The sequence below is a fragment of the Homo sapiens genome, chromosome 17 (genome assembly GCF_000001405.40).
Source record: "Homo sapiens chromosome 17, GRCh38.p14 Primary Assembly".
Classification (NCBI taxonomy): domain Eukaryota; kingdom Metazoa; phylum Chordata; class Mammalia; order Primates; family Hominidae; genus Homo; species Homo sapiens.
In genome coordinates, this window is record NC_000017.11 from 15,240,833 (window position 1) to 15,266,955 (window position 26,123).

General features: G+C 46.2%; 1 protein-coding gene, 1 long non-coding RNA gene and 1 other non-coding gene across 12 annotated transcripts in view, besides 1 other annotated feature; 1 reads left to right on the plus strand and 2 right to left on the minus strand.

Moving 5' to 3' along the window:
- Positions 1-24,494, minus strand: part of PMP22 (peripheral myelin protein 22) — a 35,548-nt gene extending 11,054 nt beyond the window's left edge. For 3 of the 10 annotated variants that reach the window (NM_153321.3, XM_047436306.1, XM_024450806.2), the window contains exons 1-3: positions 21,597-21,720; positions 19,818-19,929; positions 18,262-18,361 (exon numbers count right to left, since the gene is read on the minus strand). In NM_153321.3, coding sequence (NP_696996.1) covers positions 18,262-18,361; positions 19,818-19,895 — 178 coding nt within the window. In that variant the 5' untranslated portion in view covers positions 19,896-19,929; positions 21,597-21,720. Of the gene's footprint in view, positions 1-18,261; positions 18,362-19,817; positions 19,989-21,592; positions 21,721-24,321 lie in introns of those variants that run through there. The other 7 variants (NM_000304.4, NM_001330143.2, NM_001281456.2 and 4 more) reach the window with 6 other exon arrangements.
- On the minus strand, positions 10,795-10,864 carry MIR4731 (microRNA 4731). Its single transcript, NR_039884.1, has one exon. It is a non-coding gene; the product is annotated as a microRNA 4731 (primary transcript).
- Positions 20,060-20,179: a silencer, noted in NCBI's record as "silent region_8211". NCBI's record gives its function as "represses an Ori minimal core promoter by ATAC-STARR-seq in GM12878 lymphoblastoid cells {active_cell/tissue: GM12878}" and the evidence as "EXISTENCE:reporter gene assay evidence [ECO:0000049][PMID:35858748]".
- On the plus strand, positions 20,127-25,077 carry LOC124903931 (uncharacterized). Its single transcript, XR_007065632.1, has 2 exons — positions 20,127-20,303; positions 24,624-25,077. It is a non-coding gene; the product is annotated as an uncharacterized LOC124903931 (long non-coding RNA).

The window sequence follows — 26,123 nt, forward strand, 5'->3', positions numbered from 1 at the left end:
CAATGCTTCACCCAGTACTCACAGCTCTGAAATCTGGATGGTTTATAATTAGTAACTGAGTAAGATAAACTTGTTTTGAGTTGTAAGCAGCTCATGGCAGAATTTTAAGGGTGCAAATTAGGTTAACTGTTCCTAGATTTTCACCTAAGATGTTTCCAAGGCACAGACTGGAGATATTTTAGAGTTGGAAGAAACCTGAGAGATCAACTAGTCCAGCTCCTTTGCACTGAAAGAGATTTCCAGAGGTGTTTTCATGAGCCCAAATGACACAGCCAAATCTAAGAGGCCTTTGATTCTAGTCTAGCACTCTTCACATTCAAGCACAACATATGCTTCTTTCATTTTTTCAATTTCTTTGTCAATTAAAGTAAGAAAATGACGGCTAATGGGTTGTGAGCCATCCTGATTTCACTCTTACATAACCTTAATCAAATGTTTGTCTTTATCCAGCATAGAGGTTCTTCTGGAGGAGCACTTTGCAATAAAGATAATGTTCTCATAATATTGTTTGCTTAAAATAAAAAAATTATCTAGCACTTTGGTAGATGCAGCTGGAATTACAAAGAAATCTGAGACTCAAATCTGAAACTAAAACAAATAAAGGGATTCACTTTGGCTGGGAAATGTCCTTCCATGTGCATGTTCATGAGGAGTATGGCTGGTGGAGACAATATCTTAGATTTCCTTCTCCAATCCTGAGATACTGTCTTCACCCTTAACCCCGCGCCCCTGTCATTTTCAGCAGAAACTACTACGAGACCTCACATACACAGAAAACTTAAAATCTTTATATGTTAAATCTATATAAACAGAAAGTGTCTAATATTTAATAATATAACCTAAATACTTCTTGAAACATCTTTCAACATTAACTTGAATTTTAGTCCCAACCCCATTACAATTGAGCTCTTTGCCATAAGTTATTTCTCGAATCAAATCAGAATTAGAGGATCAAGGACATTTTTATTCAATGAGCATTTGTTGAATACCTACTGCTTTGAGCCAAGCCCTCTGGTTGACTCTGATGATCCAGAGATGAAGAAGATGGTTTTCAACCATAAGCACAATAAATAAAACACATGCATTAAGATAGTAAGTCTATCATCAACCACATTATATGTGAATGGGTTCAAGGCACTCATAAGATATGGAATTTTATCTTTGATTAAGACATTTTGGGAGGCTGAGGCAGGTAGATCACTTGAGGCCAGGAGTTCAAGACCAGCCTGGCCAACATGCCAAAACCCCATCTCTACGAAAAATACAAAAAAATTGGCCAGGTGTGCTGGTGGACACCTATAGTCCCAGCTACTTGGGAGGTTGAGGCAGAGAATCGCTTGAACTCAGGAGGTGGAGGTTGTAGTGAGCCAAGATCACACCACTGCACTCCAGCCTGGGCACAGAGAGAGACTCTGTCTCAAAAAAAAAAAAAAAAAAAAAAAAGAGAGACATTGTAGCTATATTCTAATATAATAGATACACCTAAAACAAGCAACAGTCAAAAACAAAAAAGATTCTGAAAAGAAGCTTCAGGCAAATGTTAACAAAAAAGAAAGAAGATAAATTAATAATAAAAAATAGAACTTATGTTGAAAGGATAAAAGTGGCCAGAGAGTTGTTTGGTTGTTTCATAGAGGAAAGATTTGGTTTATTTGATCTTTACTTCTGGTTTACATGATCTATGACTGAAGAAAATAAATCATTATGCATATAATAACATGGCCTGAAAAAGTTAAAATCAAAAAGTAATCAAAATATGAGAAGAAATTGTTAAAATCACAATAACAGTAGAAGACTTTAGCTTCCTTCCTCAAAATAGATGTCAGGTAGACCAAAAAGAAGAAAGAATATAGATTACATAAGAGGATTAACAAATCTGTCCTAATAGATGTATAGAAAACTTGTGTCTATATAGCAAAGTTATTTTCAAACACACATGGGACAGCTTTTCAAACTGACTATAAGGGCAACAAAGAATATCTCAATAAATATAGAAGCAGAAATGATGTAGGCTCAACATATACCTAAAGGCAAACAGAAATTAGACATTAAAAACAAACTAGCCAAAATAAATTTGGAAATTTAAAAACAGTGTTCCAGATAATTCCTCGGATTAAAAAAAACAAGATGAAAAGTAAAAACTTCTTCAGCAAGGAATTATATAGAGAGCCACATGGCACACCTGTGGGTTGTAACCAAAGCAGTTCTCAGAGGACAATGTATACACTTCTAAGCATTTGCTAGAAAAATCCTTAAAAAGAGTGAACTACACTTTCAACTCAAGAAGCCAGAAAAAAAACAATGAAATAAGTCCAAAAATTAATTGACTTAATATGGATAAAAGCACAGACTAATGAGACAGAAAAAAATATTAAAATACATTTAATAAAAATGTCTGGTTCTTTGGGGATACATCAACAAGTTAGACAAATTTTATTCAAGTACATAAAAGAAGTACTAAAGAAACATACTAAGTTCCTGGATAGAAACACTCAAAGTTATAAAGATGCCAATTTCATCCAAAATAATCTACAAATTCAATGCTGTCCTAATCCATATTGCAACTGGAACTGGAAAAAAATCAATTAAAAATTCATCTAAAAAACAATGAGCAATGACAGATAAGAAAAAATTTGAAGTAAACACAACAGCAACTAAAAACCAAAACGAACAAATGAACAAAAAGAAAATCAGAAAAACATATAAAACCAATGAGTCAAGATACCACCTACCAGATTTAAAACATATTTCTATATTTTGCTTATTACAGTATATGGTATAAATTAAATATACAATTAATTGTAACTTTATAATATATAATTATAGAACATATCATAGAACTATGATATATACAATATATAATTATAGAACATATCATAGAAGTATGATATATAATTATATAATATATAATTATAGAAGTATATATGTTCAAGTGCTTATATTATAATTATATAACATATAATTATAATTAATAAAATGTATTTTATTTATAGACATACAAAGCTTATATTTATATTATAAAGTTTTAGCAATTCAAAAATATGGTGTTAATCATGAAAGAAAAATAAAAGAATGGGATGGAATAAGACTTTGGAAGCATACATGTAAATTTGGTAGATAATACACAACATCATATAAACCAGTGGGGAAAAATACAACAGACAATACATAGTGTTGGCTATTCATTTGGTAAAACATAAAATTAAATCTCTAGTTCGCATCATTAACAAAATTAAATTACAGACAGAACAAAGAGAAAACAGCTAAGTATAAAATTGAAAAGCCATGTGATTAGCAAAGGAGAAATATGAACAGCCAATAAACATCGTAAAAGGTGCCCAACCTCACTAGCAACCAAGGAAATGCAAGAGAAACCCATGAGGAGGGTGACACCAATTTTCATCCAGCCAATAGGCAAAATTCAAAAAAAATGGATAATATCAGCAGAACAAATAAGTGATAGCTACCTGCAGACACCATTCACAGGAATAATAATAATATTATTATTATAATCCTTTTGTGACCAGCCATTTTGTGGCAGAATATATTAGGTTGATACAAAAGTAATTGTAATTTTTGCCATTAAAAGTAGTTTAAAAATTGTAACACCTCTAGCGTAATGACACTATATGTGTTCAAGTGCTTATCTACTATATCCTGGAAAAACAGTGAACATATACTCAGAGGAAAATAAATAAGGACATTGATTGTAGCATTTCTATGAGGGAAAATAAATTATGGTATATCCTCACAATGAAATATTTTGCAGCAGTTAAAAAAATCATGAGTTAGAAAATGAAGAGTCTTTGAAAGGTCTCCAAGACAATGAAAAGAGTAAGGTGCACACACAACATGTCATCATTATGAAAACAAACACCAAAAAACTATGTAATTGCGTATAGACATCCACAGGCATGCAAATATTCGTAGAGAAAGAGCCAAAGTTGTGTCAAATTGATGTCAGTGGGTTCCCCCAGGAACTACTGTTGCAACGAAGAAGAGTTTGGTCAAGAAGCCTTTCAGTTGAGGATATTTTCATGTATTATAATACTTGTATTACTTAAATAATTAAAACCAATTTAAAAGATTACAAAGGTAAAAACAGATGCAGCACTCTATTGACTTACTAAGAGTCAGGATTCCAAAACTCAAAGGGCTAGTGGAATTCTGGGCAGGACTGGGCTTCCACATGCCCAGGAAAACAACAAGGGATTTTCCTTTCCTCCAGTGCCATTGATCAAAAGCTACACAAGGACAGCGAGAGGAAAAAAAACAGAGCCCAGCCCAGGAGAAAGCAAACTCCATTCCAGCTCCAAAAGGCTGGTGCAAGATTCAAGAGCTCTCGTTGTTGCTCAAAGGGAACCCCACAGGGCCCTGAGGACATTTCTAAGCTCAGATGATGCTGCTCCCCAATCAGAGCCATTCATCAGAACTGGAATAGACAGGTAACAACCAGCGCAGTAAGAGACAGCAGATATCACACACTCCAGAAATGACAGGGCTTTGATCCTGTCCAAGGTAAGGGTCCCGTGTGAGCACGTGCAAAGCCTGACTCTCTCCAGCATTTATGTGCTCTGGTTAGGACAGCCCAGGCAGGGCTGGGCTCTGTTGCCAAGTTCTTCTGACCGCCCACCTAACTTGCCACATACATTTTTTTGGCCTTGAATTCTGCTTTACGTACTTGAGGCACTAATATATTTTATTGGGTTGTCATAATGATCAAACAAAAGAGTTGTTATTGAAGCGCTGTTAAAGGATAGTGCAAATAACCCCACCTAAAAGGCTGATGTGAGAAAACAGGGTAAACAAGCATTTACAGGCTGTTATTGAGGGGCCAGGTTCTGGAGCATTTCCATCTGGGTCACACCAAGCAGTATGAAAATGGGAGCCACAGGCCGGGCGCAGTGGGTCACGCCTGTAATCCCAGCACTTGGGAGGCCCAGGAGGGCAGATCACGAGGTCAGGAGATCGAGACCATGCTGGCTAACACAGTGAAAACCCGTCTCTACTAAAAATACAAAAAAAAAAAAATTAGCCGGGCGTGGTGGCGGGCGCCTGTAGTCCCAGCTACTCTGGAGGCTGAGGCAGGAGAATGGCGTGAACCCTGGAGGCGGAGCTTGCAGTGAGCCGAGATCGCGCCACTGCGCCACTGCACTCCAGCCTGGGCGACAGAGCAAGACTCGTCTCAAAAAAAAAAAAAAGAAAAAAGAAAATGAGAGCCACAATGTTCACACAAGCCAGGTTATTAGCACATTGGCCAGAACTCCAAAAGTGTTTTGATACAACTTTGGTATCAATTCATATCTCCTCTCCAGCATAAGGGTGCTACAGAGTCAGAGTGCAAATATCTGCACAGATAGCAAACTATCTATAAAGAATCAGAGAGCAAATACTTTAGGCTTTGCAGGTCATACGGTCTTCTTAACAACTACTCAATTCTGCCTTTGTATCACAAAATCAGCCATAGCCATGGACAAGATGTAAATGAGTGGGTGTGACCCATTCCTTCAATAGCCATTTATCCAATAAAATCTTATTTACAAAAGCAGGTTGGATTCGACATGCAAGCTATTATCTGCCAAACTCTGCTACAGCAAAACAAGTCAGCTGTACAGAAAATAATGATTCGAGTTCAGAGAAATATAATGCAAGTGAAAATGCTGTCAATTACAAACCTGTTCTATTTAGATCAAACCTAGTGTGACACCAACATCCCAAGTGGCTAAACTATAGATTAACACAAGCCCCAGTGTGGCGATACTCTTCCCCACGCCCCACCCAATTTGCAAGTATGCAATAAATAGTAGAACTTATGTTGAGTACCTGCTGTCCTCCAGGCCACACTCAGTTCCTGGTGCAAAGTGGAGGCCTGCTAAACATTTGTGGAGTTTCCAGTGGAAGTTTTAAGCCAATATCCAACCTTGGTGCTGAGCACTGGAATTAAAAACTAAAGCTCTGGCCGGGCGTGGTGGCTCATGCCTGTAATCCCAGCACTTTGGGAGGCCAAAGCGGGTGGATCACAAGGTCAGGAGATCGAGATCATACTGGCCAACATGGTGAAACCCCGTCTCTACTAAAAATACAAAAATTAGCTGGGTGTGGTGGCATGTGCCTGTAATCCCAGCTATTTGGGAGGCTGGAGCAGGAGAATCACTTGAACCCGGAAGGCGGAGACTGCAGTGAGCCGAGATCACACCACTGCACTCCAGCCTGGAAACAGAGCAAGACTCGTCTCAAAAAAAAAAAAAAAAAAAAGGCCGGGCGCCGTGGCTCACACCTGTAATCCCAGCACTTTGGGAGGCCAAGGCGGGTGGATCACGAGGTCAGGAGATTGAGACCATCCTGGCTAACACGGTGAAACCTCGTCTCTACTAAAAATACAAAAAATTAGCTGGGCGTGGTGGCGGGCACCTGTAGTCCCAACTACTTGGGAGGCTGAGGCAGGAGAATGGTGTGAACCCGGGAGGTGGAGCTTGCAGTGAGCCGAGATGGCGCCACTGCACTCCAGCCTGGGCGACAGAGCGAGACTGTCTCAAAAACAACAACAACAACAAAACTAAAGCTAAAGCTCTTTGCAGGCCTCCTGTTCTGAGAGTGTCCGGTATAAGAGCTGCTGACAGCTTTCTGACATGGGCCGTGGCAGCACCCAGACCTAGCTCCCCCAGCAGATAGTGGGAAGCTCGAGTTGCACAAAGATCAAAGCTCATTTCAAGGTCAGATTCCTGCTGTAGGAGCAGCTGAGCAATGAAGGAAATACATCAGCCCCCTCAGCTATATTCTTAGCCCAGGGCCTACAACCTAGTGAGTTAAGGGCTCAGAAAGTATGAAGCACTTTTCAATGTAACAGTTTATGTGCATCTTTCATTACCAGCATGGAACCAACCCTGCCCCATATCAAGTCCCACTCTGGGCAATTCATAAAACTGTTCTGACTCAAGAGAACAGGTTTTGTTGAAAGTGAAAGGAAGGACAGTTGCAAGAGTCAGAAGAGACCTTGGAGAGGCCAAGAGAGAAAAAGCCATGAGAGGGTAAATCACAGAGGCAAAGAGTTATTAACACCTCCCATTTGCATAGTGCTAGACTGTTTTCAAAACACATGACCCCAAGACCAGGACTCCCACGCCCAAACCTCCCAACCCACAACCATCACACAGATCGCCATTTTCCTTATTTCTCAGTATGAATGTCATTCCAGAAATAGCTGAGTCTCTGAAAGGCCTCCATCCTAAACAATGTGGCCTTTGCCCATATGCTTCGCCCACCAGCTCAAACATGCCCAAAGCCCAGCGTGGGTCTTGCCCCCTGGGCTTCAACTTCTCCCCCAGCTGGTGGCTTTGAAATGGGCTTGCTGGTCAGGCTAACTTTGCCTATGATTCATGCGGAAAGCAAAACAGATGGAGACAACTATGTGCCAGCATGGAGCTCACAAAGGCGATGAAGGTGACGTGGGCGGCTCTCTCAACAGGTAATCCTGGGGGTATTTTAGCTAGAGCAAAGCCTGTGTCTGGCCACTAGTGGGCACAAACTGCTCAGTAAGTGGAAGGAATCTTCATGTCAAGGTATTCCAGCTAACTTTGATACAGTTATTCAATGAACTGCATTCCTAATTAAGAGGCTTTGTGGCAGGCACAGAGCTAGTTTGTCAGGGTCTAGTTCTGCACTTTGACATCCATATTCTTGCTCTGCTAGTGAGTTTTTGGACTTCTAAAGGGAATAACACGCAGCCACTGAGGTACCTGAGGTTACTGGATAATAGTAAGCTGTCTGAGGCTTTTTTATACCCTTGTTGGAAAACTCTAGAAACAGGGAAACAGAGTAGGCTTTGTTTCTCTAAGAATTGCTCTTGGAAGACTTACTCCACCAGATACAAAAGAAAAAGGAGGGGAGTGCATTGTACGATGAAGGATATCAATCTCCCTCCTTGGTAATTCACAATGTACCATGAATGATCAAAGCCTGCTTAACTTTCAAAACTTAGTGTCTTTCAAACGGATTTATCAGGAGACTTGTTTTTGTTTTTGTTTTTTAAAAGAAGAGCTCACTTAAAAACACTGAGTTTGGCCATAGAAAATGACGGGAAAGGCAGTTGCAATTGCAGTCATGAACTGCATCAGTGGAGAATGAACAGGGAATAATTCGCTTAGTTTTAAGATCTTCAGGTTTAGGAGGAATTCTCCCCATAGAAATAATAGAGTTCTCCTCCTTCTTTCCCCTAAAGTATGAAAAAAGAACACGCATTATGGAAATGAAGAGCTAGAACAAAAGAGCTGCTACCCCCACCAGTGACAGTAAACCAATGCCCGTTTACAAGCACAAAACCCATCTCTGCTCCCTCTGCCTACTGCAATTCTACCCCATTGCCAAGGCCCAGCTCAGAGGCCACCTCCTTTTAGGATCCCTCGATGCCACAATTACATCCTGAACATGAACAGAGGCTCCGGGACCCATGCAATGTGCAGGTCCTACCTCAACTTCAGGTCCTACCTCAATGCCTGCTCTGCTTTTAGGAAACCAGGGTACCTGCCCCAGGTTACCTAATTTGTTACAGGCAGACCCGGTGCAGAAAAACAAGGATTCCCTGATGCCCAGACTACTAGTTTTTCCACTACAACACACTGGGGGTGCAGAGAAGTCAATGATATGCTTGCAATCTAATGAATTAAATTATTCTACCACCATTCTTCAGACTTAGAATCCACAAAAACTAGAGAGGGTGGAAGGAGAATGGTGTGGCAAAGAGAGAGCGGCTTCCCTTATTCTCTGCTCATCAGCCTGCCAAGCCAAACCACTGACCAAACTTCAGAAGGGCAAGAAGAGGCCCTGCTTATGCAGCTGGGACCAGCACCAGAGAAGCCACTGAAAGAAGGAAGGAAAGAAAAACTGCAATCGTCAACTGTTTGAAGAGTCATCGTGTAGAGGAGAGACGGGGGTCACCCTGCAGTCATTGTCCAGGAGGCACTGTGGAGATTTAAATTCTTTAAGGACGTGCCAAGCAACTTGATAAAACCCAAGTCCAGCACATCAGGCATGAATGAAGGCAACTAGAAGTGAATGGACAAAAGAGGGGCAGTGTTGGGTTTAACAAGGTAATTTCTTTTTTTGAGACGGAGTCTCACTCTGTCGCTCAGGCTGGCGTGCAGTGGTGCGATCTCGGCTCACTGCAAGCTCCGCCTCCCGGGTTCACGCCATTCTCCTGCCTCAGCCTCCCGAGTAGCTGGGACTACAGGCACCGGCCACCACGCCCGGCTAATTTTGTTTTGTATTTTTAGTAGAGACAGGGTTTCACCGTGTTAGCCAGGATGGTCTCAATCTCCTGACCTTGTAATCCGCCCGCCTCAGCCTCCCAAAGTGCTGGGATTATAGGCGTGAGCCACCGCGCCCAGCCGAGGTAATTTCTTAAGTGACAATATCTCCTGGCATTCCTCCCTCATCACTGGCTGTTCATCCCCAGTCTCCTCTCCTTCCTGTACCCTCGTTAACCCCTGGCATGCCCAAGACTTAGCTCTGAACCCTGTTCCCCTTTTCTGCCTTCTGCTCTCAACTCCTCCCCAAGTAACTGTATTCAGCACCACAACATTGAATACCCTTCGGTATAGAGGAATGACTCTTGACTTTGAATTTCCAGCCCAGACCTCTCCCCTAAGCCAAAGACTTCTAAATTGAAGTGATTTGCTGACCTCTCTGATGGTCAAAATATAAATCCTGATTTCTACACCTTCCCGCAAATCTTCTGTTCCTCCTCCAGTCTCCCCATCTCAGTCCAAGATTCAGTTACACACCAGTTGCTCAAGCCCAAAACGTAGAGTCATCTAGAATCATTCTTCCCTAACTCCCTACATCTAACCCATCAGCAAACCCTGTCATGAGACCTGTTTTCTTCTCTACTTCCCCTCCCTAGCTAAGCCACCAGCTACCTCCTAGAGTTCTTGTGAGGATTAAATGCATTGCTTTTCAAAGAATGCCTGGCACTTACGTGAGCTGTTTGTATTCTTAACATCATTGTCATTGTCATCATTGTCATCTCAGTGTCATCATCATGTCCAGTCTGGACTATGACCACAAACTCCTCACTGGTCCCCAGTTTCCACTCTTGCCTCTCCCCAGAATTCATTCTCAACAGCCAGAATGAGCTTACAAAACATGAATCAAATCATGACACTCTTCTGCTTAAAACCCTTCAATGATGTCCCAACTGTCCTTCTCAGTACCACAGCCTGTGAGGCACCAGCGATCCTGCTCCCATCCCTCTCTCCCGCATTCCCCACCCTCCTTTCTTCAGCTAACTCAGGGCCTTGGTTCTTCCCTTTACCTCCTAGAATTTTCTTCCCATGGTTCTTCCTATAACTGGTCCTTCCCTGTCTTCTAAATCTCAGACCACATCACTATGGAAGGAAGAGGCCTTCCCTGAGCAGCTCATTCCTCCAGTGATGACTTTCCATTGGATCACCCTATTTGTTTCCTGCAGAGCATGTTCCACTACCCATAGTGATGCATGTATTGTGTATTGCCTGTTTCCTCCAACTCCTTGTGAGCTGCACAATGGCAGGGACCTGCTCTTTCTTGTTCATCTCTGTGCACCCCATTTCTAGAACAGTGCCCAGTACATAGGACAGGCTCAATAGAGTTGAAGAACACATGAATGGATCTCACTATTAGCTCTTCAAAAACAAAAGAGGCTCTCTTGAAGGTAATAAGTTCCCCATCAGTGGTAGGATGAACATGTGGTAGGCATATTGCAGAGGGGTCTGTGGCTCGATGGGATAGGAAGGAGGGATGGGCCAGATGACTCCGGGTCCCTGCCAGTGTTGGGGGCCACTTGTGTGTGGATGACTGCACACTCATGTGGCCCCCAGCACTGGCAGGGACCTGACCACAGTCAGAAGGCTTCATCCCAGACAGCCTTCTCTCGGGCACCAAAGATCAACATCCACAACCTCAGGCTGCACCATGGCCAGTCCCTGCTCCTGAAATGCAAGGGATGTTTTCTTGGTGCTGGTGAAATCTTGGGGATACAATTGAAGTTTTTTTAAAGCAAAGACTATAGATTCCAGGTCATACAGTTCAGACACAGGTTCAAACAAACATTTCATACTAATTCCTGGGTATTGGCATCAGAGAAACCCTAAGGGTTGAAATCCTGGCATGTTGACAACACATTCCGTCCTCTGTACCTCCCTTGTACCACCAGGGTCTCAGCATCTCATAAGAGCCTGTAAAATCCAGAGCCATTCCTTGGGTAGAGATTATGGGTTGGCTGAGGGAGCCACGAAGATTTTAAAATGTAAAACATGAACCCATAAATGCAGAAGGTCTCCCGTGTTTTCTAAAATCTGGCCAAAAGCTGAGCCACAGACAAGGAAATTGTCTGGTGTCCTTGCCAAAATGACAGTGTCACCAAATTGATAAACAAGTCTGGGATCGTTTTGAAGACAGCGATGATAGGAGACCACCAAGGGCTCAGGTTGGGGGCTGCTGAGACTGGCAAGATTTAGTTTCTCTAATTTTCAACCCAAAGCATTGATCTAATTCCTCACACAACCTATTGATAGTCATGAGTTTGCTGTTGCTGCTGCTGCTGCTGCTGCTGCTGCTGCTGCTGCTGTTTAAATGGAAAAGAAGAGTAGTAAGTGGTCATCTTCTCAGCGTCTGGTGCTGGTCCCGCCCACACACTGTGGCAGAGCAGACCCACCTGTTGTCACTGGGAAATGAGGGGCTGCAGGTACTGCCCTTAGACAATGGAGGTGGCCAAGGACGTTTGGGGACAGATTACAGGAAAGCTCAACAATTCCCTTCATGCTTTGGTGTTGAGCACTGGCCTCCTTTTTAAAAACAAAAGTGATTCAAAAAGGGGCACATTTTTTGTGCCTAACACCTCAGCATGAAAAAGTTTATCAACTACCTTTTCTTCTGAGACAAGAGAGGACTTTGTGAGCAGGGACAGGCCCTGAGAGACAGATTTTACTGAAGACAAACTGCCTGGGTCCTGCCTCATCACTGAAGCTGATGAAGACCAGCCAGGGGCCAGGGCAAGCCAGGACTGTGCCCTTCTAGCTCTTGGGCTCCCAAGCCGCCTGTGGCTTAATTCCAGTATTCTGACCCATTCTGCTACACGTCAGGTCCACACAAATTAAACAAAAAGCAGGGGAATGCTTGTGAGAACTTGGACTTGATATTTGGATCTTGGAGACTTCAAAACAAAAAGCACTGGTTCATTCAATAGCAGGGCAAATGTTTTGCCTGAATCCTTTGGGTCAGTAGATTTTAAACTCACCCATAGGGTCTTGGGGAGGAGGCTTGGCACACCCCTCCCCCTCACCAGAGCCTTCCAGATTGTATGAGTTTGCAAACTAAAGCTCCAGGAACTGGCCTCATTCAAAGCGACGCCATGGACCCTGCGTGCCATGCCCCAGGGCTCCACTCTCTTAATCAAGGCAGAGGGAACCTACTTACTACTCAAAACCAATTTTCTAACATAAAATGTTCACAGTTATTTTCTGATTGTGAAAATAAAAGATCTCAATGAGGAAAACAGGTAAGGCAGCAAAAGAAAGAAAACAGCCAAAGTGATAAGAATCCCGTCACCCAAAATAATCACTGAAAATATACCGATGCATTTCTACCTTGTACAATTTCTGATATATTCTGCCTTATAGAGGCTTCTGGACTGTCACTCCAACTTGGAATCAAATGGACCACTGAGAAACCCGTGGAAGACAGCAGGTCTAAGGAAATCACAAAGATTAGAAATGCATCCATGTGCACCCAACTCCTTCCTAGTGGGGGTGGGGGGTACCTTTGAGATGGTCTGTGATTCTACTTACCCCTCACTCTCTGTTCCCACTAGTCTGCCCTGCCCTCTGTCCCTCAACTACGCCAAGCTCCTTCCCTCCCCAGCGATCTTGCACTTGACGGTCCTTCTGTATGGAACCTCCCCGAGATGTTCATATGGCTGGCTCCTGGCCACTCCTCAAGGAGACCTTCCTTCACCACTGCAATCCCTCTTTATCCCATTACCCTGTCTTATATAGTTCTTACCATTGCCCCCAAATTCTCCATGTTTACTGACTGGTTTGTCCAGTAAAACATAAGCTCTTGTTCACTCTTGTAACCTTAGCACCTGCAATAGTCTCTGGTACACGAGAGTTGTTCAAGAAATAGTCCTGCATGAAAGATCAGAAGAGAAATGGAGAGACTCCCGAAGTGGGAAGTTCACATTTCAGGACGTGAGAAAACGCTGAAATTCCAAGATGAGGGGAAGAGAGATGGGAGGTGAGACTTAACAGAAGCAGGAGTGGATCATTCAGGTAGATTCCGATGGGCCTTGTTAAAGATTTTCATCTGAAGATTAAGACCAATGAACGGCCTCTGAAAGGTTTCAAAATGAGGAGTGATATAATTAGGTTTGTGCTTTTTTAAATATCAGCCTGGATTCCATATGAAAAATGAGTCACAGAGGAGCAAGAAAGGGTTCAGGCAAACTAGTTAGGAGGCTGCCCTGGCGCCTCTGACAAACGAGGAAGCAGCGTGACCACAGGTGGGCAACAGGCATTGGAACAATGGGGTGGCCTGAGGGACCCGTGACAATGCTGAGAAGAGAAAGAAGGAAACGCGTCAAGTCAAGGCAGACTCTAGATGTTTGGCTTGCTGGCTGGTGAAGCAGCATTCACTAAAATACTAGAAAGTGACAGAGGGGTTGAATTGGCAGAGGAAGATAAGGACTGTCTCTGGCCTAGTGACTTGGGGGCCTCTCTTAGATATCCCAAGGGAAGTGGCCAGGAGACAGCTGGATAAACAGGTCTGGGATTCAGAAGAGAGGTCTGGACTCATTAAATAATAATAAGATGGCCAGGCATGGTGGCTCACGCTTGTAATCTCAGCACTTTGGGAGGCTGAGGCAGGTGGATCACCTGAGGTCGGGAGTTCGAGACCAGCCTGACCAACATGGAGAAAGCCCGTCTCTACTAAAAATACAAAAAATTAGCCAAGCGTGGTGGCGCATGCCTGTAATCCCAGCTACCCGGGAGGCTGAGGCAGGAGAATTGCTTGAACCCGGGAAGCGGAGGTTGCAGTGAGCCAAGATGGCGCCACTGAACTCCAGCCTGGGCAACAAGAGTGAAACTCTGTCTCAATAATAATAATAAGACTTACTTATACCTGGAGAGGTGGTAGAAATAGAGAGAGAGAAGCCTCAACAGGTCCTAAAGTTTCTGAGAAGAGCCCATGTGAGAATGGTGGGGTGGCTGACAGAGCCCAGGATGCAGCAGAGATGGACTCTTTGAAGAATGCTGAAATAACTGGGACTTATGGAACTGCATAGGGCCCAACTGAGCTATTGCAAAAGAGTATGATTGGGTATGGGAGGGGATGGTCAAACCCTCAAGGAAAGTATTCCACACCAGGCTTACAGAGAGGTATTTGCTGCCAGGTTTCTATGATTTGAAAAGCCATGCTTCCCCCAAGGCCGAATGACTATATTTCTCAGCCTCTCTTGTAAATAGGTGTAGGTGTGACCATGTCACATTTCATTAAAAGAAAAGGAGATTCATTCTTCCCCACCTCCTTTCTCCACCCTACTGCTTGAATCATGGATGAGATGGCTGGAGCTCTAGCAGCCTTTTGTTTCCTGAAGATGACAGCCAAACCCAAGAGATGGCAAAGAAATGAGCTAGAAAGTGTCTGCATCTCTGACAATTTCATGGAACCTCCATACCTCTCTCAGGCTACCTACTTCCAGACTTCTTTGAAAAGAGAGAAAAATAAATGATCTTACTTAAGCCCCTATCATTTGAAGATGTTCTCTTATACACAATCAATCCTAATCCTAACCAGAACACTAGCCAACCAGTCTACCCCATCCCCTGCCTTGTTCTACCCTTACCTTAGGTCACAGGGAATATTCTCCTCCCCGTTGCCTGTATTGACTTAAATCCTGCCCATCCTTTGGAGGATGGATCAGATTCTACCTCCCACCAGAGATTTCCCATCCGCTTCCTCCCTGAACTCAGACGCTGTCTGCCTGCCTCCCTTTGGGCACCTGGCCTGCTCTGCCTTCCAAGGGAGTGATTCACCCTTCCATATCTATCTCCTGACTCTTCGACCAGGCTCGGGACCATCAAGGCAAGGCCCATGCATTCCAGATCCTTGTATTCCCTGGGCCGGAGAGGCACTGGATACAATATCATAACGAATATCCCCACACTAAGCCTCTCTTACCTCTGCCCACACGAGGCAGATAAGGAGGGGGTGCCAGAAAGTATACAAACACATTTAGAAAAACGAGAAGGCAGGCGGAGTCAAAGTCAGTTAGTTAAAAATCTAAAACTATTTCTAATATTAAGATGTAGCCTGGGGGCAAGATCTGGTGTGTCTCTTTCAAACTACACAACCTAGATGTTAGACTGCCTCATGGCACGATGCCAGGAGGCCCCATTCATGTAGAAAACAACATGAGTGGCAACCCCCAGAGAGAGGTGAAGTGTCATGGTCATGCACCAGAAAAATGAGTCCTTTCAGAAAAAAATACCAAGTCACATGGCGCAGTGGCTCACACCTCTAATCCCAGCACTTTGGGAGGTGAGGTGGGTGGATCTCCTGAGGTCAGGAGTTCGAGACCAGCCTGCCCAACATGATGAAACCCCTCTCTACTAAAAATACAAAAATTAGCCAGGCGTGGTGTTGGGCGCCTATAATCCCAGCTACTCGGGAGGCTGAGGCAGGAAAATCGCTTGAACCCAGGAGGTGGAGGTTGTAGTCAGCCGAGATTGCACCACTATTTATTTTTTCACACTTGCAACATATTCTTCACAAATCGATGTCAATAACAAATTACTTTTGATTACTTAACAAGTATTTTTTTTCAAATATACTTTCTAAGAGCAAATACAGACAAGTTAAATGGTTCGCAATGAGCATAGTTCATTTGTAAAGACAGTATAATGTTTTAAAAAGTACACATTTTTTTCAGCTTATTGTCTGCAGCCACAATTGTTAAACTCAATCAAAGAGGCCCTGGAGGATTCGCCACTTAAGGCTGAAGTCGTAGCAAGTGCTGCCACGTTGGGGAAGATAGCGGCAGAGATAACCACTACTGGGGAAGTGTAAATGGAAATTTCAAATTTAGATTAAGCCTGAGTGGCGTGAAAACAAACCCAGCATGTTCAGGTGCAGTGTCCAGATGTTTTCAAAATGCCCTGATTGTGAGAGCTGAGAAGGGAGATGTGGAAAACAGACACTCTGGGGTCCTCACGGAAAGCAACGAGGCAGATTTGAAACCCACACTAAGGAGGCATTGTAAATGAACTCAAGAACATGAGCTTGGCACAGAAGGAACAAGTTGAGAGATAAGAAGTTTCCTGATTAAAATAACCCTAGTGCCTCTTTGAGATCTGCTTCTAGCACCAACTGACAGCTATTTCCAACGGCAGAAGACACCAAATGTCAATCTGTAACATGCTACAGGTCAATATTGCTTTCTTTCCTGCAGATGGTTTAAGCACAACTTAGCAACTCCTCTGCCGCCTCGTTTCTGCTGAAACTTCGCCGGGTTTTAACACGCCTGCCAAAACTGCCCCCTTCCGGGCCCAAGAGTCCAGGATTCTGTGCCAAGCCGCGTGGCCAGATGCCACTTGGGGATGGCGCCTGTGAGCACCAAAGCCTGCCCTTTTCGGGCTGAGTCACTACTTGTAACCACCAGGTGTCAGTAGCGAGTACGGAGACTCCCATCCGGAGTGCTCCGGGAACTTCAGCCAGACCCTAAAGGGGGAGAAACCGGATGCTGTGGCTTTGGGGACAAGCAGTGCTACGGTCACATTCTCAGGCACTCATGAGTATTTCATTTACTCAGTTGCCAACTCACCATGCAAACCCACCACGTAATTTCTGGGATGGCTTTAATTCAATGCCTTTCACACACTCAGAGACAAGATTAAGCACTGTTCTCACTCCAATAGGACTGGGACCTTTTCTCTGCTCCCTCCCCAACCCAGAAGGTAAAAACATAAAGCAGGGTTTTCTACTCCTTGCGTATCTTCTCCATGTAAATTACCAAATTATTATTTTAGCAGTTTCTATTTGTACTGTGGTTCAAGGAATTTGGTTTATAATGCTTCAGCTGGGGACATGCTTGGGTATTACTGGGTACTGAGCTGTAAGAGGGAAAGTCCAGCAAAGCAACTGGATTATGCAAAGCCAGGACCAAAGGCCACTTCACTGCCTGTTTTACTGAACTGGATCTAAACTGGTTTCTCTCGTCTGGTGTAGCATCTTGAACATATATACTGGATCTATGAGTAGCTCCAGCAACATTTAAAGCTGTATTTCCGTGGCCTTTTAAACCCAGGATGTTAGGAAAGCTCTGCTGTATCTCTAGGTCCTTCCAGCCTGAGGACACATCTTCTGGAACAAAAGATCATGTGGATCCAGGTCCACGGGCTCTTAACATCAATCGCTATGGCCTACCCAGCCACCAAAACAGCTCATCCTGTTTACCTCCACCTGTCTGCATCCAAACACACAGGGCTCCTGGCTGGGTGTTCCTTTCCCTCTGGGTGCCTTGGGTACCTAGTTGGTGCTTCTGCTGCCAATTATCCCTTAATTTGACCCTCATGAAGCCTGGCTTCCATATCTCACAAGCAAAGATGCTGAGGACAGAGGAGAAATACGATCTTCTGGATTAAGGACCCCAAGGCTTAGCTTAGGGTTTTGCAAATAGCTTCAAGTCCCCATCTTGCAACAAGGAAACATTCAAAGGTTTTGATGCTAGGTGGCATCACTGAGGCCCAAGACCTGGAAAGGCAGCCAGTCTTGTGTCCATGTAACTGACGGTGCAGTGAGCTAGCCCCACTGTCACTGCAGCAGAAAGGGGCAGGACATTTCTGAATAGAGACAGCCACCAAACCAAAGATACACGTTTGATCCAATGTCCCAAGGGGGTCTGCCAAAGGCTTAGCTATCATACCACCTTCACAGCTCCCAGGTCGATATTTTTTTCAATCACAAAAAGCATTATCCTAAGTGATCAGGAGGGCACTAAGGGCATGTCTCTAGGTAGAGTGAATCACAATGATGCCCAGGATCTCAGCTTCCCCAGCGAGATCACCACCCCTCCCATTTTCCCTGGACTCATGGCTCCCTGTCACATCCCACCCCACCCCAGCAACGACATTCTGGCTTGTGTCTTCCAATAAGCGTTTCCAGCTCTGGGCTGAGAAACGTGTTACAGGCGTCTGAGGACAAGCTCATGGAGCACAAAACCAGCCTCACCGTTTGGTGATGATGAGAAACAGTGGTGGACATTTCCTGAGGAAGAGGTGCTACAGTTCTGCCAGAGATCAGTTGCGTGTCCATTGCCCACGATCCATTGCTAGAGAGAATCAGATAGATATCCTGAGTCAGGGAGGGAGGGAGGAGTGAAGGAAAAGGGGAAGGAGAAAGGCCCAGGGATGGCGAAAAGCACCCGCATCCACCTAGCCACACCGCCCACCCCTGCATGGTAAGAGCCAACGTTTTATGACTTAAAAGCACCTTGTAAATGGAGAAGTTCCACATGCACACAGAAACGATTATGTGCAGAGATGTTTACTATAGTAGAAGGAGCCATGAACTCAACCTTAGACACCTGCATTCAAGCCTTCTCTCCTCCCAGCATCTCGGGATCATTCCCCAAGCCCGCCTCTCTCAGTCTATTTCCTTGTTTATAGCTCCTATCAGTCTGATATCATCATCACCAGGCACAATGGAGATACTGTGAAGATGCTTGTAAATGTTAAACTAAGTCACAAATCCCCAACATAATTATTTCTCACAGAGACTAGAAAATCATGCTTACAGGCCGGGCACGGTGGCTCACACCTGTAATCCCAGCACTTTGGGAGGCAGAGGTGGGCGGATCATGAGGTCAGGAGTTTGAGACAAGCCTGGCCAACATAGTGAAACCCCGTCTCTACTAAAAATACAAAAAAAAAAAAAATTAGCCAGGCGTGGTGGCGGGCACCTGTAATCCCAGGCTGAGGCAGGAGAATGGCTTGAACCCGGAAGGCAGAGGTTGCAGTAAGCCAAGATCATGGCACTGCACTCCAGCCCGGGTGACAGGCTGGAGACTCCATCTCAAAAAAAAAAAAAAAAAGAAAAGAAAAGAAAAGAAAACGAAAAAGAAAATCATGCTTACAATGTGCCTTAAATTAAGAAGTGAAAGCCACCACTGGAAAACTGCCTGAATGTCTGCTCATCTTCATCGCCAAGAAAATAACTTTAAGATCTAATGGGCTGGACAGTTTTGTAACAGAAGTTACTCTGATGGCCTGTTCCTACCAGTGGAAGCTTTACTAACAATGTGTTGTGTTCATGCCATAAAGCCGACATGGGACCTGTGAACTCTTTTCCAGAAAAGCCCATTTTAACTTTCCAATTTCAAGTCCTAAAAGGGTGTTTTATAAATTAATTCACCCATCTGACTATGGTTTGGAGAAAAAAAAATCATAAATACTCCTCTTCTTCAACGAGGCTGCATCAAGAAAAAAAAAAGTTAAACAATCTTGTCAAATGAAGGTCGGGGACCCTAGATCGGCTCTGAAGTTACTTGGCTTAAATAGAGACCTGCGCAGCTAACCCAGCCCAGCGCTCGCTTGGTTCCTATCACTGAATCTGCTCTCGTTTTCTCAAAGCAACTGGAAGGGGGCAGATTGCCAGAAACTTCCCTGGGACGTCTGAGACTTCCAACTGTCTGCAAATAACACAGTCCTGAACCAGCAGGAGCACGGGCTGGGAACCCAGATGGGGAAGGGCGGGCCGCGCAGGGAGCCTCCCCGCCAGGCACTCACGCTGACGATCGTGGAGACGAACAGCAGCACCAGCACCGCGACGTGGAGGACGATGATACTCAGCAACAGGAGGAGCATTCTGGCGGCAAGTTCTGCTCAGCGGAGTTTCTGCCTGCGAGGAGAGCGCTGGGCGTGAGGCCGAACGCACTGGGCCGAGCGACGGAGGCGCGCGCAGAGGGAGGGTCCCGCGCACTAGCGGAAGGCCCGGCCTGGCCCAGCGCCCGCAGCCCGACCGCCCGCGCGGGTCAGGAGCCTTCGCGCCGCCTGCCGCCGAGAGGGGGCAGCAGCCGCCTGCAGGACCAGCGCCCAGTGCCCAGCGCCCAGCCGGGCCCGCCTGCAACGGAACATCTTTTGCTTTTGGAAACAAAACAAGCGGTTCGCACGTCTAAAACCACCCAGGGAACGGAGGGGTTTCCAGAAAATATGAGCAGAGGCCACTGCACGCTTCCACCCACCCCAAGCACCTCCCGGCGACCTCCCTGGAAGGTGAGAGGTCACGTTCTCCGAGACCCCGGTTCAGATGGTGAATTCCCCTATGGGGTGGAGGTAGGGGTGAGGGGAGTAGGTGCCCAGATTTCCGTCTGAGACCTGGAGACAGCCGTGGCATGCGGTGGGGGAGACAGCGGCGAGGAGGCTGGTTTCCCAGACCCCAGTGCTCTCCGCATTCCGTTTGTCTCCAAGTTTCCACCCAACTCTGCCAGCGTAGAGGAACGGTCCTGGCCCCAGCTCAGCCTCGCGCAGACTCTGGCGGCTCCGGAGAGGTGGTGCAGAGCCAGAGTAGTGTGGAAAGAAAAGAATGGCTCGAGAGGGTTGCCCGGACCCTGCGCTTCCCGTCCACCGCGCGCTTCCCCAGGCAGCCCCTGGGGTCAGGGGGCATTCTGCTCTTGCGCTAGACCCACGTGCTCGCCTAGGGGTCCAGTCTGCACCCCAGGCACTCAAAGCCAGGACACGAACCCCAACAAGCCTGAGCTCCGGTCTGGGTGCGGTGGGACAGGAGCCCAGGAGCCTGGACCGAAGGGAGTAGATGTCCAGCGGACGGGAGAGAGAGACAGAGGGTAAAAGGCTGAGTCCGAGAATTTCAGCCGGTCAGAGCCGGCAGGACATTTATCCCAAGTAATGCGGTCCTCGCCCCTCATTTTAAACTTTGGGGGAACTGAAGGCTGGGATGACCTGTTAGAGGACATGCATGGCTGTGAAAGATCTGGCTGAGACTCTGGGGACCATTTTAGGCAGAGTCTTGGGCCAGGGAGACAACGTTTCAATAACCCAGTTTGGAAAGTACCCAATCCCAGGCCCCTCTGTTCCTCTCCACAAGCATCACATTCAAAGAAACTCTGGAATGCACTGGAAGAAATAAACAAGGATTTCTGATGACTCCCAGAGGGTTTGAATTAAGCCGATGGCAGGAGGCTGGGAACTGGGGAACCACAGGAGTCCAACACTCTCGGGATGTCCGCCACAGGGACTGTTTTGCCAGTGTGTCCCAGAGTCAACGCCTCTTCAGCAAGGCGAGAACTGGGCCGCCCTTATCCGCTATCCAGACACCAGCACCATCACCCTTGCCCTGTAAGGTCTTATAGACCATAAAGGCTCTCCTCGTTGTATTACTCCAAGACCCATTGGAGGGAAACAGGACACACAGGGGACCCTGTGCCCCTAAACAGAAGCCCCAGGGAGCTGGCCAAAGCCCCGCGCCTGCGCTGCGCTTTCTGGCACCCTCACTGGAAGATGCCCACATTTCTCCTCCATCTCCTTCACTCTCCCCACCAAATCACTTACAGCCCAAAGGAACAGCTGTCCCGATCCTCAGGGTGGCCTCAAACACAAACTCGGGTGCGTTGGCTCCGCTGCTGGCGCCGCCAAAGCTGCGCTGCGGGGCTGCGCGCGCGCGAAGCAAGGGGGCAGTGGGAGGCTCCTGGCGTTCCCCTTTAACGGGAACAACGCCCTGTTTGCGTCGCTGCAGTAGGGTGTGTCCCTGGGTCAGCGTGTGCGGGAGGGCGGGACTCAGGGAGGAGAGGGGGCAGGAGAGAGGGAGGGCAGGAGACAGTCACTTGGCCTTAAATGCGCCTCAAGAAAAAGTCGGTCCCTGCAAAACCGCGGCGACTTTTACTCGAAACCAGAGGCGGCTGAGCTTTCTCACCTCCCACCTCCCTTCTCCCCTGGCCCCGTGGAGACCTAGTGTTGACCGAGAAACTGGCTCCTCAGCCCACTCTGGGAAGACCCAGCCAAATGTAGCTCAGCGGATGCCCAGGGCTGGGCTTCTGGGCCCGCCGACGCCGACCGCGCCCGCGCGGGGCTGAGGCTGGATTCCTTTCCCACTAATAGAGGGCAGCGGGCGCTTGAGCGCTGGAAGAAGTCCCTCTCCTCTCGGGTCCTGGAGCCCCTGCCCTGTCCTGGCGTCTTAGCCGGACACACCTGCCCCGCGCCGGTCCCCGCTATTACTGTCTGCACCTACGAAGCATGCCAGCTTCCTAGGATTGGCGGGGATTGATCTAGCGGGCTCCTCTTGGGTGCGAATTAGGGGAAGAAAAGTCCGGCCGACTACTGGATAGCATGGTCTGGGATTGGGCTCCTCCTAGCCTAGGCAAAACCAGACTACCACCGAATAAGCTCTAGGCAAAGTGTTCCTGCAGCAGTCGGGCTTGGCTGTCAGCCTTGGCTGGAGTCCTGGCCATGGGGTTTGGCGGGCGGGTGCGAGGTGGCCATTTGAGGTGGGGTTGGAGCAGCCAAGGAAATCAGCTGATTCATAGCCTCCTAACGTGGCCCGCCCAGCGTTACAGGGAGAGAGGCTAGCCCCCTTCAGTCTCGGCTTGGCAGAGGCGCGCCCAACTGAGACTCCCGTGCGCAGGCCAGCCTTGAGGCACGGGACAGGGAGCAGGAATGTGGATGTTAAAGGTTTCTGCCTGAAAATGCAGCAGTTCACGCACGCGCGCGCACACACACACACACACACACTTCCCTACCTCTAGTGTACTGTGTCATAGAAGCTCATCACTCTCAATGATTCAAATAATTCTATATTATTTTACGATTTGAAAGGAGCTGCTATTTTAGCTAATTGTATATTCTTACGGTAAGTAAAAATAAATTTGAAAAAGATCTTCAAACAATGATCTTTTTAAAACTATCGTGTTATCAGATTAAAATGAAGTGTACTTGTAAACACTGCATTTACAGTGCCCGTTATATGCCAAGCACTTTGCCTGGACTTTATATGCATGGTCTGTGAGAGGCAGTATGGTGCAGTGGTTAGGCACTCTGGCTCTGGGCTCCAACAAACCTAATCACCCTGCTTACTTTTGTTGTGAATTTGGGCAATTTCTCAAGTTCACTGAGCTTCAGTTTTCTCAGGTGCAAAAGGAAATAGTAATGCCTGCTTTAAAGGTTTATGGTGGTGATTGAAGGAGACAATATGTACAAAGCAGTTAACATCGTGTCTGCAACATAATAAGGGCCCAGTGCCCAAATTGCCACCACTATTATTATATCACATTTAACTCTCACATCAACCTTTCAGGGAAGACCTGACCACCTCTGCACTAAAGTAGCTTGTAACTCTGATAGGTAGGTAGGTAGGTAGGTAGATAGATAGATAGATAGATAGATATAGATAGATAGATAAAGATTTATAAATGAAAGTGCATATGCAAGTAGAAAAAAAAGTCTAAAGACATGGCAGTGTTTTCTTTCCTCCACAGGTCATTTTATAAGTTAGATTTGCTCTAGAAATTATTACTTTGTTTTATGCCATTTGGACATTTATTTATTTAACCAACACTTATGTGATCACAACATACTCAGGACTGTTCTAAGTAAGCACTTTAGAAATATGAGCATATCTAACTCAGGGTTTTCTTTCCCTTCCTTTGTGATTTTCAAATAAACTTTTTAATAAAGTCTAATACACATACAGAAAAGTGCATATATTGGGTGCTACAGCTCGCTTCTTCCTTTCTTTTGAACCCAATAGTTTAATCAATAACCACCCAGGTCACAGCCACACCATATACTGCCAGACAGGTAAACCCAACCCATCTGTCCCTCACTGCCTCTGGCCTCCTGCCTGGTTCTCAATGGTGGCAGAGGAAGTGCTACTCAGTGCCTGCTGACCAGGCTTGCCACACCCAGAGCCCGGCTGGCCAAGGCTCTGCCACAGGTGGCAGCTTCTCCCTAACCTGCTTACCAAGGCCACCTGCCAGCTGTGTGTGCACAGCTATTTTCCATGGGGGAAAAAGCATCTAGATTCCTTTCTTCCTTTCAATCTGGATGCATTAGGGTTTCTAGATGCTCTCAGATGGCCCCCCACCTCCCCAGCCAGAGTATATATCCACCTTTTAACCAAGGATATAAAAAGCCCTCTGAATCTCCAGTCAATTCCAACACAAATGCACCATCTCTCCTGCAATCCTTTTCATTTGCGGCTTGCAGGGGGTGGGAAATTAGGCAATTCTTGTAAAGCATAGGCACACATCACCCAGAGGCACAGTTTGCCAATAAAACTCACCCGGCCAAACAGCGTAACCCCTTCTTCCAAGCAGATTTCTTTGCAGCCAAATGCAAGGGATGTTAAGGCAAGACCCTCCCCACAGGGCAGTCAGAGACCCGCAGCCGACAGACTAAGCCTGCAGCTTCCAACCAGGCTCCCCGAGATGTTCCCTGGTGGTGCTCCCTGTAACTGAAGCCAGACCAGGCGTCTTTCCAGTTTATTCAGGGGCTGGTCCAATGCTGGGATATGTCATGGTGGCCTGAGAGGTTCTCAGCCTCTATTATTTAAAGAGACAGTGTCCAACTTTGTTTGCTTTCCAGAATACAATAATCCCAAGAGGCCCTGCAGGGCATGGAGAAACTGGAATCAGAAGGGAGAAGAGCTTTGAGTATGCCTGAAGCCTGTGATGCCAAGACTGTTCTCTCTGGAAGTGCCAACCTGTGTAATAGCCAAGAGGTCCCACTGGCTCCCCTCCCCTCCCAGTGAATTCTGCAGAGATTAAATATACTGTGGGAAGGATCTGTGTCTACAGTGTTACATACGTGCAGGTAAGTTTTATTTTAAATAAACTTCCTTTTAAGGAGCCCAAACATTGCACAGCTAATCTCTCACAGCATCACAGCAGTGAGCCAAATGTCTCAAGAGTCACCAAATCAAGCCTCCTTTGTTCCAACCCCTGGTTGGAAGGACTCCCTGTTACCTGCCTTGTCTGCCTAGACCCCATCGCAAATGATCACATGTGTTGTACATTAGAATAAAACTTAGGGAAATGTGTTCTTCCGACTCTGTCTTTAATGTGCCCGAATCAAGCTGACCTTCATGAGATAATTCAATGCAAGTAAACGAACCTCTATTGAAAACTATTGAAAACTTTCTAACCTGTCAGGCAGAATAGGCTGGAAGAGCAATTGGAAATTCTTGGAGAGGGAAGTAAAGGAAGTTATGGCATATTTAGGTTCTTTGCAGCGTACCACTCCAGCTCCCAGAGAGTCCTCCATCCCTTGAACCGCTTCTAGCTGCAAACTCTGACACAAGAGGACTGGTTTCATTGCATGAGTTTCCTGGAATTCTGGCACTTGGGGCATAAGACTTCCTCTTGTGTTAGGGATCCCCAGTCTGGAGAGACCTGCAGAATTTGGAGGAGTCCCTCCCTGTCACACACTTTACGTTTGATTGGACTCTCCAGTCACAAGGGCCTCTCAATGGCCCTCTCCCCTGTTCTGCCCACAGCCAGCATCTGCTCACAGCCAGCATCACAGCCAGTGCCAATAAAATAGTTTCACCTTTCTCTCTTTGCTGAAATCATTTTTATTTTTCACAGCAGTGGTTCTTTAGAATCACTCAAGAGCTTTGCAAATGACCTAGCCTGGGCCATGGTCAGAGAAGCTGACTCAGGTGTTTTGGGATGGGGCTCAGGTATGGGTAATTTCCAGTGTCTTTCTCCCCGCTGGATGTTTCGTTGTCCAGCCAGGTTGTCATGTGGAGTTAGATTGTCGCTGATTTCCTTCCAGCTCCCTTCTGTTGTGGAACCCAAATGGAGATGAGGTACAGTGTGGGCTGCTGCAGTATTATGCAAGTTATAAGTCTGTTCTGCCAGGCAAAACGGTGTGTGTGTGTGCGCGTGTATCTGTGTGTGTGTGTGTGCGCGTGTGCGTGTGTGTGACAGAGAGAGAGAGAGAGGAGCCTCCCTCAGTCCTCCTCTGACATGGTCTGTACGGGGACTGGGAACAGTGAGCATGGTTTTTGCAGCCTCTCCAGACAGTCTTTTCCTGGGTACTGCCATGATCAGCTCCAAAGGCTACACGACAGAGGCTGCTGTC